This window comes from Homo sapiens, chromosome 7, assembly GCF_000001405.40.
Source record: "Homo sapiens chromosome 7, GRCh38.p14 Primary Assembly".
In the NCBI taxonomy this organism is placed as follows: Eukaryota; Metazoa; Chordata; class Mammalia; order Primates; family Hominidae; genus Homo; species Homo sapiens.
The window spans coordinates 131,210,429-131,228,170 of NC_000007.14; the positions used below are offsets into that span (position 1 = coordinate 131,210,429).

Here is a 17,742-nt window from a genome sequence, read left to right on the forward strand (position 1 = left end):
GGCTGAGGCAGGAGAATGGCTGGAACCTGGGAGGTGGAAGTTGCAGTGAGCTGAGATTGTACCATTGCACTCCAGCCTGGGGGACAGAGTGAGACTGTATCTCCAAAAAATAAACATACAAAAAATTAGCCAGGCATGGTGGTGCACACCTGTAGTCCTAGCTACTTGGGAGGCTGAGGTGGGAGGATCACCTGAGCCTGAGAGGTCAAGGCTGCTGTGAGCTGTGTTTGTGCCACTGCACTCCAGCCTGGGAGATCGACTGAGACCCTGTCTCAGAAAAAGAAAGAGAGAAAGAGAGAGAGAAAGGGGAAGGGAGGGAGGGAGGGAGGGGAGGGGGGAGGGGAGCATTAAGCATAAAAGTGAATGAAGTTGAAGTGGCCAGGAGGGAGACCAAATTAGAAGCTGACCATCAACATATAAGACTGACTTCCCTATTATTGATAGGTTAGCAGGGTTGAAGTCGTTAAAATAGGAAATACAGTATACTGGGTTGGTGGGGAAAGCTCAGTCTGAGGAACAGGCAGGTTCCCACATTACCAAGTATCTTCCATCACCATGGTGGGGCAACACTGTCCTGGACTAGAGTATACATTTCTATGAAGATACCTTCTTACCTATATGACACAGTGTTCATGTACTGCTGTATTTCCTCTCCTGATATATAACAAATAATCTAGTGAAAATTTCCCACTAACTTACCCAGGGAACTATAAGTAGGCCAAATGAAGCTTTTAGCACACTTTCTGGTTGCTGATAAAAATCAGCAACTATAAACCCAATTGCTCCTATTTCCATTAGAGCTGCTTTCCAGAACTAGGTCTCCAGTTATGTACATTAAAAGTTTGCCAACCCACTTATTTTCTTCCTAAATACTTTATTATATGCAGGATGGCTTGGGCTTCATCTACAGCAAACAAATATATGTATATATTTGCCAGTGGGCCATCAGAAACATCTATTGATTGTCTATGTGTACAAGTAACTGAGTCTGCAAAATTGCCTTCAAAGGCTAAGTCTCTTGTATTCTGCCCTTACTGAGAGTCTGTACTCTCCTAAGGTTAATTGGCTTATCATATTCTGCTTTTGTGCTCCCTAGTTTACCATGATGCTTGGGGTTTTTGCCCCTACGCTTTTCACTTTGTCTTCCTGTAATTTATTACAACCAACCCTTGTGTTTTTTTTTTTTTAACAGTTTTGGATCTGCATTAATTTTTTAGTCCCCAGAGGAACACTATGTTCCCAAACATTATGTTCTGCACTCTCATGCTCATATCACTTTGTGTAGTGCCAGACACCTCCTGGGATCTCAAGAAATGTTGTTTCTTTTTAAAAGATGGGTGATTACTCTAGGAGGCTCATAAAAGATCTTTCTCAGTTGAGTTACTTTCACTGTTTATGTATCCCAAGTGGCTTAGGTCAAAATATTGGTTAATAGAAAGACTCCAAGTCTTTGGAGAAGCTTTACTAGTGTCTCCTCATCTCTGTAAAAGCAAAGATGAGTATTGAATGGTCTTACAGGAGTGTTGGAGAGAAATGATGAAAAGCATTAGAAATGAGAAGGCCTTTGTTGAAAATATGAAATGCCAGAGTGAAGACAGTATCATTATTCCCAAGCAGGCCTCAGTGTAAGCGGAGCTCTCTCCACCAATTGAAGCTGTTCATCACTACAAAGAATGGCTGTCCTGCAGGATCCTTTCTGCTGCTGGCTCCTACTGCAGAGAATAGAAACTTCTTTCTAAATACTGTATCCAAAATGTTTCCTCTTCTCTCAACTTCTCAGCTCTATCCAGGACACTTCACTGCTTTCCTCCAAGGCAAACTTGAACCTTCCTCTAAATTCCTTCCCTGAAGGCTGTTTTGAGGCAGAGGGATAGGACCATGGACAGAGGCTTAGCCTACCAATCACTCACACAGCAGGAAAGTCAATTCTCTTCCTACCAGGAATCCCTGGGAGAGGGTGTTTACATGAATAGACTCTTCTTTAACTATAGGTCACTTTTCCCTTCTCTAACTTCCTTTGGAGTGATGCTGTGTCTTCTAGAAACACTGACTCCTTCCAGCAACTCTCTGCTCCTTAGACATATAAGAAATACTCATTCTTGCAAATGCAGTTCTTAAAATATTTCAAAACATCTTCATTATAAAATATTTCAGGCAAACAGAAAACTATGAAAAATAGTTTAACAAACATCTATGTGTAAAACAGCTACCTTAGCTGGGCGCAGTGGCTCACGCCTGTAATCCCAGCACTTTGGGAGGCCGAGGAGGGTGGATCACCTGAGGTTGGGAGTTCGAGACCAGCCTGACCAACATGGAGAAACCCCATCTCTACTAAAAATACAAAATTAGCCGGGCATGATGGTGCATGCCTGTAATCCCAGCTACTCCTGAGGCTGAGGCAGGAGAATTGCTGGAACCCGGGAGGCGGAGGTTGCGGTGAGCCGAGATCGCACCATTGTACTCCAGCCTGGGCAACAAGAGCAAAACTCCGTCTCAAAAAAAAAAAACAAAAAACACCTACCTTAACAGATCTTAATTTTGACTTACTTGATTTAGGGTTTGTTTGTGAAAAGTCTTACAATACATTTGAGGCCCCTTACCTACCGCCAATCACATTCATTTCTCTATTTTTCTCCTTCCCTCTTTTCACAAAAGTAACCATTATCTGGAAGTTGCAATACGTGATTCCCATGCAACTTTTATACTTTTATATTATACATATATATACATAAACAATACAAAGTATTGTTTTGTGTTTGTAAAGTATAAAGGAAAACTATATTATGCTGTATATAATATTCTGCCGTGTATTTTATTCATTATTATTTTTTAGATGTGTTTATATTGCAGCCCAAAGAACTAAGCCATTACTTGTAATTGTTGTACATTATTCTCTTGCTTGAATATATACAGGTTACTTATCCTTCCTCTTGCCTTAAGGATGTGAAGGTTGTTTTTAGTTTGTTGTCAGTGATGCTATAACAAACAATGCTGCAATTAACATTTAAATACCGGTCTTCTGGTGCACACCATGTGAGGTTTTTCTAGGCCAGAGTCTGTCAACCTTGTATTATTGACATTTTGGACTAGATAATTCTTTGCTGTGGGAAGGATGTTGAGCAGAATTCCTCACCTCTAACAGCCAAGAATATCTTCAAATATTACCAAATATTCCCTTGGTGGGGAAAATCACCCTTGGTTGAAAACGATGAGTCTAGACAATTTACCTAAGGGAGGAACTACAGGTCTTAGGATTCATATTAATATACAGTACCATTTTGCTTTCCAAAAGTTCTGTTTCTCCACATTTTGCTAATTTTTGGCATTTTCAGAATTTAAAAATTTTGCCAATTTATAGGTATGAAATAGTTGATTATTTTTCTTATTGCTTCGCATGAGTTCTTTATAATTTTTGAATACTAACACATGGATGGTTTTATGCCTAGCAAAATATCTCCTCTCAGTCTGAGCTTTCTTTTTCTTGATGGTCTCTTTTTTAAAGTGGTAAAATGTATCCATATTTTCCTTTATGTTTTATACTTTTATGTTTTATTTAATAAGTTCTTCCCTACCCCAAAGGTGTAAACATAATGTCTTGTATTTTTTTCTAGAAGTATAAAGTTTTACTGTTCATATTTAGGTCTTTAAACCAACTTAAACTTACTGTGACATGAAACAGGAAATATGTATATAATTATTTCCACCCGCCTCAGCCTCCCAAAGTGCTAGGATTACAGGCATGAGCCACTGAGCCCAGCCCTCGTTCTCCTTTCTAGCCTCAATTATTTTCAAGTATTCATGGGTCCTCTGCCATAGTGCATAGTCTAAGCCCGTCATAGTAATCCCATTCCTTTGGGATTGGTTTTGGCACGGGCTTCTGTTGCATGTCTTGGCAATGAGACCTAAGTGGAATTGTGCTAGAGTGGGGTTGGGATGGGGTGGGTAAGTTTTCCTCATACTGAAAAAAGTACATGAGAAAAAGACTTGCCCTTCCTATGTTTGTACAAAGTTGGAGAAAAATGTGATGGCTGATACTGTAGCAGCCATCTTGTCACTCTGAGGGGACAAGCTGGAAACCAGCACACAGAGATTAACTAAGCAGAAAGATGAAAAGGTCCCAGGTCCCCATGATGCTGCTGTGCTGTTGAAGTAACCAATATTGGGGCTACCTATCACTGGACAGCCTGTAATCTGAAATAATAAACCTCTTATTGCTTAAGCCACTCTAAGTTGTATATTATTACTTTCCACCAAATGCATGTAATTTTTGACCCTTTCGTTTTCTACATGGACTTTGTAATCACTGTACCATGTTCCATAATCAGGTTGGGATTTTTCAAATTGGGTTTGCATTGAAATTAAATATTAACTTTGGGAGAACTGACATCTTTATGATAATGAATGTTTTAATTCATGAATATGGTATATGTTTCCATTTATTCAAATCTTCTGCAATGTTTTCCATAAGAATATTTTATATACAAAAGTACATGTTATATTTATTCCTAGACACTATATTGTTTATGGCTATTAAGTATGTTATCTTTTGTTTGCTAGTAAATGTTGTATGTGATAAATACTGAGATGTAGGGTTACAGTGGAATTTTGTATGTTGATCTTATACCAATCAGCATACAAGACAGAGTTTCGCTTTGTTGTCCCAGCTGGAGTGCAGTCGCTTGATCTCAGCTCACTGCAACCTCCGCCTTCTGGGTTCAAGCAATTCTCCCACCTCAGCCCCCACCAAATAGCTGGGATTACAGGAATGCACCACCACACCAGCTAATTTTTGTATTTTTAGTAGAGATGGGGTTTCACCATGTTGGCCAGGCTGGTCGTGACCTCCTAACCATAAGTGATCCACACACCTCAGCCTCCCAAAGTGGTGGGATTACAGGCGTGAGCCTCTGTGCCCAGACAATTGTTGTTTTTTTACAGACAGGGTCTCAGGCTATTGCCCAGCCTGGTATGCAATGGCACCACAATAACTCACTGCAGCCTCAAATTTCTGGCTCAAGGGATCCTTCTGTCTCAGCCTCCTGGGTAGCTGGGACTACAGACAAACATCACCACACCCAGCTAATTTTTAGATTATCCGGGGATCTTGCCCAGGCTGGTCTTGAACTCCTGGGCTCAAGCAATCCTCCCACCTCAGCCTTCCAAAGTTCTAGGATTATAAATGTGAGCCACTGAGCCCAGCCTGAATTGTCTTTTTAATTCTGATTTTATTTTCAGATAGTCTGTATGATATTCTTCATAAACGATTACATTATCCAAACAAGGAGAGTTTGTCTTTTCTTTTTCTCTACTGTGATGATGGAGATACCATGGATTCAGTCATGGAGGCCTGTAGTTGCTTGATCCAGTTTCCTGTCTGTGTCCTTTCTTCCTGCCCCATCATTCCTTCATGTAAAGCCTATTACCACATGCGGTCAGCTTATTTAGCCTAACAAGCCAGTTTGTTTGGGGGGGATAGGGGCTCTCAGTCTAGCCCATAGGTTCAAGCAGTGAACCTGGTTTACCACCCGCTCCCCTCACTCCATGCAGGTCACTGTTAGTTCCCTTTAAGGAGTCTAGACGCCCCATTCTAGCATCCCCTGCCTCTTTTCAGACCTGGAACCGAACCGGCCCATGTTTTTAGCCCCATTTATTGCTTTGCATTTCCGGTCAAAAGAAAAGTTTATATTTGGGCTGGGCATAGTGGCTCATGCCTCTAATCCCAGCAGTTTGGGAGGCAGAGGCAGGCAGATCACCTGAGGTCAGGAGTTCAAGACTAGCCTGGCCAACATGGTGAAACTCCCTCTCTACTAAAAATACAAAAAACTGTACTGAAAATACAAAAAATACAGGAGTGCGTGGTGGCGCACTCCTGTAATCCCAGCTACTTGGGAAGCTGAGGCAGGAGAATCGCTTAAAACCAGGAGGCGGAGGTTGCAGTGAGCCGACATTGCGCCACTGCACTCCAGCCTGGGCGACAGACTGAGTCTCTGACTCAAAAAAAAAAAAAAAGAAAAAAAAGAAAGTTTATTATATTTGGAGAAAACTGTGTCTTTTAATTTTTCTCCTTTATATTTTAATAACCATTGCTTTGTGCTTAGAGCTGAGCGAGTGCCTCAAAGGTTCAGCAATGCTACCTTGACCAGAAATCATAATTTCAATGTCTATTTTGTAAAGGATTACAGAACTAGCTTCTACTACTGCCGACACTTCATGCAGTAATTATCACCAAACACAATGCTACTCAATTTCTACAATGTCTTTCAGGTCCTTGTGCTTGGTAAACACTATACTTGTGTCTGTGTCTGTCACCTGGGTAATGGGAATGGAGATAAATACTATTTTCTGCACCCGAAAAAACTGAGGCCTCTTACTAACCAGACAGCCACAGGACTGTGAGTTCCTCCAATGATAGGGCTGTGCCTTTTTCATCCTGTGCCTCCTCACGAAAATAACTCAAACCAAACTCTGGGCCCATACCTGGCTTTATTCAACAAGATGTCCCATGAACTGAGGAGACCCCCTATTGAGTGCCCTCAGGATCTATGCAGTACCATGGCTTGAGGAAATGAGAGGCTAAAAAGACAGGAATAAGAACCATGATAGTTGATTTTAAGCAAAATAAGTGAGAAGGAATTGTCGATGGCATTTCATCTAGAAAGTGAATTTTGATTGAGATTTAGATATTTTTTATATGAATCCCCTTATATAAACTAGCTTAGTATATAAATATAATCAAAATAGCATTCATTAAAATTGCAAAACTTATTTATTAAAATATGTAAAACAGCCAGCTGCAACAGTAGTGACTAAGAAGTATAAAAATAAATTATTTTTTTCAACAAATACAAATATGTATTGAGTTCCTACTATGTGCTTACACAGTACAGGAAATGGGGATACAAAGATAAATAAAACAGATCCCTGTGCAACTAAAAATCCAGTTGGGCCGATTGTTGGGCAAATAAATCATCCAAATATGATGGGATAGCTTGGGCACAGTGGCTCACGCCTGTAATCCCAACAGTTTGGGAGGCTGAGGCAGGCAGATCACCTGAGGTCAGGAGTTCGAGACCAGCCTGGCCAACATGGTGAAACCCTGTCTCTACTAAAAATACAAAAATTAACCAGGTGTGGTTGTGGGCACCTGTAATCCCGGCTACTCAGGAGGCTGAGGCAGGCAAATTGCTTGAACCCGAGAGGCAGGCGTTGCAGTGAGCCGAGATCGTGCCATGGCACTCCAGCCTGGGCGAAAGAGTGAAACTCTGTCTCAAAAAACAAAACAAAACAAAATATGATGGGATAGGCTCCTTAAAAGAGTGTTAGTTTGAAGAAATACTTGTACCCCTGTGTTCATAGCAGCATTATGCACAATAGCCAAGAGGTGGAAGCAACCTAAGTGTCCAATGACAGATTAATGTGTAATCGCCCAACCGGGTTCTTCTTGCCTGCTGCCCAGAAAAGTCAATGCAAAACTAGCAGGTTCTGCAGCAAAGAAAGAGTTTAATAAATGTGGGGCCAGCCAAATGGAAGGACAGGAGATAATTCTCAAATCCGCCTCCCCAAGAATGTGAGGGCTAGGGTTTTTCCAGGATAGTTTGGCAGGCAGGAGCTAGGGAATGGGGAATGCTGATTGGTTGGGTTGGGATGAAATCATAGGGGCTTGAAAGTGTTTTCTTGCACTGAGTCAGTTCTCGGGTGCAGGTTATGGGTCTGAGTGGTGCCAGTTGGTTCATACGGAATACAAGGTCTGAAAAATATCTCAAATACCATTCTTAGGTTTTACAATAATGATGTTATCCATAGGGGCAATTGGAAAAGTTATAAATCTTGTTACCATTCGCTACATGACTCCTGAGTAGTAAGTAGTTTTTAAAGGCAAGTTATAAAACAATGACTGATTAGAGTTTAATTATGTGTATATCTTAGCAGAATTCAGACCTCTGTCACAATTCTAACCTTGTGGACTTACGTTAGTTATATGAAAGTGGTTTTGGTCCCTGAGCAAGTAGAGGGGGTTAGTTCAGGAAAGAAGTATCATCGTCTTTGTTTTGAAGTTAAACTATGAACTAAATTCCTCCCATAATTAGCTTGGAATGAGCAAGTTAGCCTGTGAGGTTAAAACAAGATGTAGTTAGTTATGCTACATTTCCTTCACTGTCGTAATTTTTGTATAGGTGGTTCCCAGTGGATAAATAAAATGTGGTATGTGCATACAATGGATTATTATTCAGTCTTAAAAAGAAAGGAAATTCTGACACAGGCTACAACATGGATGAACCTTGGGAACATGATGCCGAGTGAAATAAGCCAGTCACAACAAGACAAATACCTCAAGGTCTCTCTGACCTTCCAACCTTCCCCCCGACCCCCGACCTCTACCAAAGAAATTGAAGTTCCTTTATCTGCCTGAGATCAGTCTTACCAAGGAGAACAAGCATTTTCTTCCCCTCTCCGGAAGACCAAGAATGTAACCACAGATGAACAGACCCTTTCACAAGATAGTGCCTGTCTTTCAGACTCATTTATGAGACTAATTTATGAGTGTGATTACACTCATGTGAAGTATCTAGAATGGTCAATTCTTAGGAACAGAAAGCAGAATGGTGGTTGCCAGAAGCTGGGGGAGGAAGGAGAAATGAGAGTTGTTTAATGGGTACAAAGCTTCAGTTTTGCAAGATGGAAAATTTTGGAGATTGATGGTCCAACAATGTGAACACACTTAACACAAATGCACAGTAGACTTAAAAGTGGTTAAGATGGCAAATTTTATATTTTGGGTATTTTTTACCACAATTTTAAAAATGTTAAAAAAAAAAATAGTGTTAGCATCCAGAGGGCAGAGGCATTTCTAACATCTTGCAGAATGCCTGATATAATAGTAGGCACTTGATAAATATTTTGCCTCCCCTTGGTTTCTGTGCCCCATCCTGTGTCCTACACAACAGGACAAAGGCCAAGTCGTTCTGTGAGCCAATTCAGCAAACAAAGGCACTTCTCTCTCCAAGGCACAGAGAAGAATTTCGAATATTTGTGATTTGAAATTTGTCCTGGTCACACCAACTATTCTTTACTTCTCAGATATGCTTATCTGAGTTCTTTTGGCATTTAACTTGTCTAAAGATAGATACTGTTTCTACTTCCCAAAACAGAATTGTGATGGACTTTGTAAGGAAAAAAAAAAAGTGGGAGGAAGTCTGTGAAATGAAATCATTATTAGGCCATGGTACAAATGGCTGTCGGGCCCTGGGTTCAGCCCAGCACAGGAGGAAGGGTGAGGTAATTAGCATGGATTTGCAATTCTGCAGCTCGCTTTTGTTCCCTCCCTCCACTGGCTGTGTCTGATTCTAGTCACTGGGTTTATTCTCTTGTGTTTGTTTTTTTCACTTGGCCAAAAATAGAGAGACAAAAAAAGTTTCCTCATACTTACTTCAGCTTTTTACTTTTTTCCTTGTGTGTTTGGTTTCCTCTTACGTGATCCTTCCTTCTTCCTGCCACCTGCTAGTTTCTCTATGGTGGGGCTCAGAAACCAACATCCCACAATATGGCGCACTGACATGCCGCACTGAGGAATCCTCAAGGTCTCTCTGACCTTCCGACCTTCCCCCCTCACCTCCAATCTCTACCAAAGAAATTGAAGTTCCTTTATCTGCCTGAGATCAGTCTTACCAAGGAGAACAATTGTTTTCTTTCCCTCTTTGGAAGACCAAGAATGTAACCACACATGAACAGACCCTTTCACAAGATAGTGCCTGTCTTTCCACTCATTTATTATTCCAATGAAAACTATTTACAAGTTAATTTCTAGTCCCCATCCTATCATTCTCCCTAGTAATCATTTATTGCCCCTCAACAGAATTCTCTTTCTCCCCACTCCCATAACCTGTTTTATAAGGATCAAGCCCCCATTTTTTTCTGTAACCTCAAGACGGTATCAAAGCTTCTGTATCTCATTGGGAAGCTGGATCTTCATTCTGAAGGCCCTTGTATACATGTAACCGTAATAGGTTCATTGCCCAATGCCCACGCAAGTCAATATACCGAGACACCTGGTTGGAGCAGAGAAAGAGGTTTAATCATAGGGTCACTGAACAAGGAGATGGGAGAAAAACTCAAACACATCTCCAGGAGGAATTTGGAGTTAGGGTTATTAAGGGTTTTGGAGTGGGCCAGTGTGGAGGTCATCAGTTGGTAGAAGAGTGTAGCGTGACATCATGGGACAGGGAGATGAAGCAGCTATTCGCTCATGCTGATCCTCTTCCTCTGTGGGGGGTCTTCAAATTGGTTGCTAGAATTAGAGGTCTAAAAAACATCTTAAGTGATCCTTAAACAAAAGCCTTATGATTGATTCTGACGTCAGATATCCCGTCTGGAGGAACAGAGAGGGTACAAATCTTCAGTATCTAGTGACTTTTAGCAACAAGGAAGTGGGCCAAAGTGCAGCCTGATTAATGCTTATATTTAATTAATGATATTATATAACATATTATGTAATATATTCTATGAATGCACTATGAAATACCTGTATTTCTGTCCAGAACCTGGCATGCAATTCTTGTCAACCCTGTGTGGGTAGTTTCATGCATATGAAGTCAATTTGTATACCTTTTCTCCCATGTTAATCCATCTGCCTCATATCAGTGATTTTGCAGCAAACCTTTATCTGCTTTTCCTACCTTTCTCAAGAATAGCTTTTCCTTGTGTTCTGTAACCCTGGCTTGGTGCACAGTATGCGTGATGGACAGGTTGAGTTGCAACACTTGGTGACAGTACAGACATGGAGCCTGGAAAGGGCCTGCGGGGTTTGAATTGAGGGATGCCCATTTCTGGTCCAAGCCCTGGGTGGAGCTCCCCATTGTTGGTTCATGGCCCTGGGCGTGCACATGGCCAAGAAGCAGAGTAGAGCAGAGGTGCCCTGCCTAGTGCTGGAGGAGAAAGGTGTCCAGGCATCTTCCAACCTCCTCATGCCAGTATGCTGAGAGGGTAAGTGCAGGACAGAGCCAATGGAAGACCTCCTTAGACTGGGTGAATCATGGAACCAACTGAGGTTTCCATTCTGGAGATTTGATCATGCCACTTTTTTTTTTTTTTTTTTTTTTAAAGACCGAAGTCTGGCTCCATCACCCACGCTGGAGGGCAGTGGCATGATTTAGGCTCACTGCAACCTCCGTCTTCTGGTTTGGATGATTCTCCTGCCTCAGCCTCCTGAGTAGCTGGGATTACAGGTGTGTGCCACCACACCCGGCTAATTTTTTTTTTTTTTTTTTGTATTTTTAGTAGAGGTGGGGTTTCACCATGTTGACCAGGCTGGTCTCGAGCTCCTGACCTTAGGTGATCCACCCACCTTAGCCTCCCGAAGTGCTGGGATTACAGGTATGAGTCACCATGCCCGGCCTCTTGCCACTTTTTAAATGTAACACTTAAATAGTTCTTGCTGTGTGACAGACACTGTTCAGACACTGTTCTAAGTGCTTTTATTTTATTTATTTATTTATTTTGACATGGAGTGTTGCTCTGTCGCCCAGGCTGGATTGTGGTGGTGTGATCTCGGCTCACTGCAACCTCCGCCTCCTGGGTTCAAGCAATTTTCCTACCTTAGCCTCTTGAGTAGCTGGGACTACAGGCATGCACCACCATGCCCGGCTAATTTTAGTAGAGATGGGGTTTCACTATGTTGGCTAGGGTGATCTAGTGATCACTTTAAGTGATCTGCCCACCTCGGCCTCCCGAAGTGCTGGGATTACAGGCCACTGTGCCTGGCCTCTAAGTATTTTTAAATATTAACTCATTTAATCCTTACAACAACCCTGTGAGCTAAGAACTACTATTGTCTGAATTTTATGGATGAGGAAAAGGAAACTGAAGCCCAGAGAGGTTAAGGACTTGCTCAGAGTTACCCAGCTGTTACTTCTCTGGTTTATAGATGGCACCTTCCTGCTGTGTCCCCACGTGGTGGAAGAAGGGAAGACATCTCTCTGGTATTAGCATCTTTAATACCCGAAGTCATGCTTTTCACTACTCCACCATGCTGCCACTCTGGTTTATGTAGAGTCTCCCAGGATCTCCTTTGGAGATTTCATGGCTGCTTTTACAAAGCATCTCCCCTAAGGTATAACACTCTCTGTTGGGTTTGGGCAGTGTGTGTATTCCTCTGAAACTTCTGTGTGCCTCCTGGTGTATCCACTGGCAGTCACGTGTTCACAGGCTTAATTCTGCAGAAGACATCAGAATCTGCCCTTCTTTCTCTCCAGGGATAAGGGCACAAGGAAGCCATTTCTACCCATATAAACATTTAAAAATACAATTTCAGGCCGGGTACAGTGGCTCACGCCTGTAATCTCAACATTTTGGGAGGCCAAGGCAGGTGAATCACCTGAGGTCAGGAGTTCAAGACCAGCCTGGCCAACATGGTAAAATCCTCTTTGCTAAAAATACAAAAAAAAAAAAAAAAAGAAAGAAAATAAAAACTAGCCATGCATGGTGGTGCGCACCTGTTATCCTAGTTACTTGGGAGGCTGAGGCATGAGAATGGTTTGAACCCCGGAGGTGGAGGTTGCAGAGATCACGCCACTGCACTCCACTTTTGGTGACAGAGCAAGACTCTGTCTCAGAAAAAAAAATAAATAAATACAGTTTCAGCATATAACAAGCACTATGCTATCTTCATGGTAAGAAGTGCTCTGCCCCTACATAGGAAAGGATACTACTTTGGGATCTGTTGCCAATCTGGGTGAGTTTATAGGGATTCTTCCCCACATTCCCCTTTCAGACCCTTGGGAACAGGGTCATGAAATTTTTAGATGGTTGGCTGGAGTCAGGCAACCAGTTCAGAGCTGTAGGACAGGTTTTCTGGTGAGAGTAGCAAACTGGTCTGGAGACAAGCCCAGGACATTGGCTTCCTTACTCTGGAAGACCGTAGCCATAGCTCGGAACATCACAGGTACTCTGCTAATCCTCTGAACCTTCCATATGTCCCTCTGGCTGTGCCCCAGATGACTTTGCCTAGTAAAACTGGGTTAGCAGAGAAGAAAGATTTACAGGAAGTTAGGATGAGCTTGGGTTTCTGCTGCCTACACTAACCCTGACTTGTGTTGCGGGACCAGGCCTCATTGCTACACAGAGATTTTTCTGTGGCTCTTTCATGCCTCCTGTCAGCTTGCCGCTCTTAATTCCCAAGGCCTCTGCCCATTCTCCATCTCTAAAATGCTTTTCCTGGATCTTCTTCCCACAGGGCTCTCATGCTGAGCTGGCTGGAACTGATAGCGAATTCTTGCTAAGAAATGAGCTGATCACTTCTGAGTTACAGCCTCAGCTCTATACACTGCATGTGCTTTTTTTGTTGTTGTTTTTGTTTTTTTTGAGATGGAGTCTTGCTCTGTTGCCAAGGCTGGAGTACAGTGGTGCGATCTCGGCTTACTCCAGCCTCCGCCTCCTGGGTTCAAGCGATTCTCCTGACTCAGCCTCCTGAGTAGCTGGGATTACAGGCACACACCACCACACCTGACTAATTTTTGTATTTTTAATAGAGATGGGTTTCACCATGTTAGTCAGGCTGATCTCGAACTCCTGACCTCGTGATCTGCCCACCTTGTCCTCCCAAAGTGCTGGGATTACAGGTGTGAGCCGCTGAACCCACCTGCATTTGCATCTTAACAGGGACATCAAAACCAAAAAGTTTAAAAACTCAAAGCACTGGCTGGTGTGGAGGCTCAAACCTGTAATCCCAGCACTTTGGGAAGCTATTGGGGACAATCAATCGCTTGAGGCCAAGAATTTGAGATCAGCCTGGGCAACACAGAGAAACCTGGTTTCTATACAAAAATTTAAAAATTAGCTGGGGCTGGGTGCGGTAGCTCACACCTGTAATCCCAGCACTTTGGGAGGCCAAGGTGGGCAGATCCCCTTAGGTCAGGAGTTTAAGACTAGCCTGGCCAACATGGCGAAACCCCATCTCTACTAAAAATACAAAAATTAGCTGGGCGTGGTGGCGAGTGCCTGTAATCCCAGCTACTGGGGAGGCTGAGGCAGGAGAATCGCTCGAACCCAGGAGGCAGAGGCTACGGTGAGCCAAGATCACACCACTGCACTTTAGCCTGGTGATAGAGCGAGACTCCTTCTCAAAAAATAATAATAATAAAATAAAATAAAGAATTAAAATAAATAAAAATTAGCAGGGCATGGTGGCATGTGCCTGTAGTGCCAGCTACTTGGGAGGCTGACGCCAGAGGATTACTTGAACCCAGGAGTTGGAGGTTACAGTGATCATGCCACTGCGTGACAGAGTGAGACCCTGTCTCAAAAAAAAACCCTCAAAGGAGTGAACATCTCAGGTTAGGATAACAGGCTCCTTGAAATACTAGAGATTTGGCTGGGCGCAGTGGCTCATGCCTGTAATCCCAGCACTTTGGGGGGCCGAGGTGGGCAGATCATGAGGTCAGGAAATCGAGACCATCCTGGCTAACATGGTGAAACCCCGTCTCTACTAAAAATACAAAAAATTAGCTGGGCATGGTGGCAGGCACCTGTAGTCCCAGCTACTCGGGAGGCTGAGGCAGGAGAATGGTGCGAACCCGGGAGGCGGAGCTTGCAATGAGCCAAGATCGTGCCACTGCAGTCCAGGCTGGGCAACAGAGAGACTGTGTCTCAAAAAAAAAAAAAAAAAGAAATACTAGAGATTTGGGGGACGGTGTCTTTTAGTCTGTTCAGGCTGCTGTAATAAAATACCATAGACTGGATGGCTCATGAACATGTGGAATTTGTTTGTCACAGTTCTAGAGCTGGGAAGCCACAGTCATGGCAGATTCGGTGTCTGGTAAGGCCTGCTTTCTGATCCATAAGCAGCACCTTCTTGCTGTGTCTCCACATGGTGGAAGGAGGGAAGATATCTCTCCGAGGTCTCTTTTATAAGGGTACTAATCAGAGCCCCTCATGACCTAATCCCTGCTCAGAGGATCCACTCCTAAAACCATGACTTTGGGGGTTAGATTTTCAATACATGAAATTTGGGGAGAGACAAACACTCAGTCCATAGCAGCTGGAGTCCCAGCCACCTCATATTTTTATATGCATCTAAAACCGGCCCTAATGTCAGTGTCAGGTCCATGGGCCTCCTCAAATCCAAGATAAAAACATTCACTTTGGAGCAACAGATCTCTCTCTTTCTGAGTTTGTCCTTAGGATTCAGCAAATTCTAAGACCCAGATCAGGGCATGCTAACCAGTTCCATTTATTGGCAACTGGAGTAGGATCCTTTGTCGAGTTGGGTATTTCCTCTGACGTCACTGGGCTACTCTCAAGGCTCCCCGGTGGGTCTTTGCCAGGAAAACCTGCATGGAAAAGGAGGCTTGGCCTTCGAGGAAGACGGCCTGTGTCCTGGCAGACTGGGTGTGTCTGCTCCAGGCTGGCCTCTCCTCATGGCTGCTGGTTTTCTGGACTAATGCACTTTTGACCCAAGAAGGGAAAAAAGGTATAAACAGAGGAGCTAGAGCAGTCAGCTGTTACTGGGTGGGACTTGTGAACTGGTGGGCTGGTGGCAGCCCCAGCCCTTCCTACTCCCTCAGAGCCTGCTGTCCTTCCTGGCCTCTCTACCCCGCCTGCCTTCCCCCCTCCCTCCCTCCCTACTTTCTCCCCAGCCACTTCTCATAAAGACCAGCTGCCTAGGTGACACCTTTTGCTTCTAAAACCTTCCTTGTTGTTCTTCCTTGGCCCCTTTCTCAAAATACACCTCTCTCTTTCCTCCTTCAATGCCAGACTGTTGGCATCTGTCTCCCTGTCTTGTGCAGGCTGCCATCTCTGGCTCACCATGGTTTTATAATTGCCTCTGGTTAAAGTTTAAATAGATGGGTTTCAGCCCAAGAGAAAAATGTAAACAAGCCCTTTCTGCAGTCTTTCAGAACTGCTGACTTCTAGTGCTTTTGAGTTCTGTGCTAGGAAATTCATTTTGCTCCTCCCTAACCAAGGAACTGAGAAACGCCATTAGGGCTTTCAGAGCCGTGACAGCCTCTCTGAAACCATTGAGAGGCTTTTAGATGATCCGCACTTTTCCTTTTAACTCAATTAAGCCATCAGGATCCAGTTCCCATCCTAGCATGTTTATCTAGTGTATTCAGGTGAGAGAATAGTTCAGCAAATCTTCATGGCCTGGCTTCTGAACAGGAAGGAAATGAAAGGAATTGTCATTTCACTATTGGAGTTTTTTCTATGTGGGAGCAGGGGATTGTATTTGTTGTCCCAGGGTTTTTGGTTGATGAAGTTGTCTTGTGAGTCATGAGAATGGGACTATTCCTGGCCAGTACAGAAGGAAAAGGGCAGGCTGGATTTGAGCTCATGCATTCTGGTATATATCCTCTCATTTGCTGTGTGTTTTTGTTTGTTGGGGTTTTTTTTGTTTTGTTGTGTTTTGTTTTTGGAAGTAAGTGGGCCATTTATTTTTGAGTCTTGATGAAGAATATTGATTTTCTATATTTTTCTGCTTTGTATACCTTGTGTACTTGTGATCTGATGTCAGAATGGATTCAGCAATAATTTGAGATGTTTTGGTCAAGGATTTGATTGGATCTTTGCCTTTCCCACTCAAAAATCTTCCAGAATTCCCCATTTCATGCTCAGACTTTTCTTCACAACCTTCTATGGTCGACCTCAAATCTACCATCACTTTTCACTATTCCAACCATACACTGAGTTCATGTGAGCTTTTCTACCCAGCTCCTGTAACCCGTTTCTTTCCCTGCAGTGTCCTGACACCTGGGACTCCTTCCCTGCTCTGCTCAGCGTCTTATCAGAACGTTCTTCCAGGGTTCTATGAAACCTTCCTTGCCTCTGGGCACAACCGGAACCAACCACTCCTCCCTTTAGTTCTCCAGCACAAGACAATCCCCTTTATGATAAGGAGACTTCCTTTCTTCTTTTCTTTTCTTTTCTTTCTTTCCTTCTCTCTCTTTCTTTCTTTTTCTTTCTTTTTTTTCTTTCTTTCTCTCTTTCTTTCCCTCTCTCTCTTTCTCCCTCTTTCTCTCTTTCTCTCTTTTCTCTTCTTTGTTTCTTTCTTTCTTTCTCTCTTTCTCTCTTTCTTTCTCTTTCTTTCTTTCTTTCTTTCTTTCTTTCTTTCTTTCTTTCTCTCTTTCTTTTCCTTCCTTCCTTCCCTCTTTCTTTCTTTTTTTTTGAGACAGAATCTCACTCTGTCACCCAGGCTGGAGTGCGGTGGAGCAATCTTGGCTCACTGTAACCTGTGTCTCCCAGGTTCAAGCAATTCTCCTGCCTCAGCCTCTGGAGTAGCTGGGATCACAGGAACGTACCACCATGCATGGCTAACTTTCATATTTTTAGTAAAGCCAGGGTTTCACCACGTTGGCCAGGCTGGTCTCGAACTCCTGGCCTCAAGGAATCTGCCCGCCTCAGCCTCCCAAAGTGCTGGGATTACAGGCTTGAGCCACCGCGCCCGGCCTTCACTCGTATTTCATTGTTTATTATGCATCCTTTGCTCATGTGGCAGCTTCCTGCATTCCATGCTCTTCCCTTCCAGCGCGGGATGATTTATTCTGTCCCCCAGTAGGGCCCAGCTTCGTGTGTGGCCCATAATCAGAGCTCAATAAATATCCAATCTTTGTTTTTCATCCTCTTTTCAACCAAAAGTTAATGTCAACAATTTTTTGTTGTTGTTGAGACAGGGTCTCCCTCTGTTCCCCAGGCTGGAGTGCAGTGGTGCAACCTCCACTCAATGCAGCCTTAACCTCCCAGGCTCAAGACATC

The 17,742-nt window shown here is 43.2% G+C and overlaps 1 protein-coding gene across 2 annotated transcripts in view, besides 2 other annotated features; it reads left to right on the forward strand.

Moving 5' to 3' along the window:
• The window catches only part of MKLN1 (muskelin 1), a 386,539-nt gene that overhangs the window by 100,335 nt on the left and 268,462 nt on the right, over nt 1-17,742 (forward strand). The window lies entirely within an intron of this gene.
• Nucleotides 8,655-8,724: an enhancer, noted in NCBI's record as "active region_26673". NCBI's record gives its function as "activates an Ori minimal core promoter by ATAC-STARR-seq in GM12878 lymphoblastoid cells {active_cell/tissue: GM12878}" and the evidence as "EXISTENCE:reporter gene assay evidence [ECO:0000049][PMID:35858748]".
• Nucleotides 10,608-10,808: a silencer, noted in NCBI's record as "peak6724 fragment used in MPRA reporter construct". NCBI's record gives its function as "represses an SCP1 promoter by STARR-seq MPRAs in K562 erythroleukemia cells {active_cell/tissue: K562}" and the evidence as "EXISTENCE:reporter gene assay evidence [ECO:0000049][PMID:32103011]".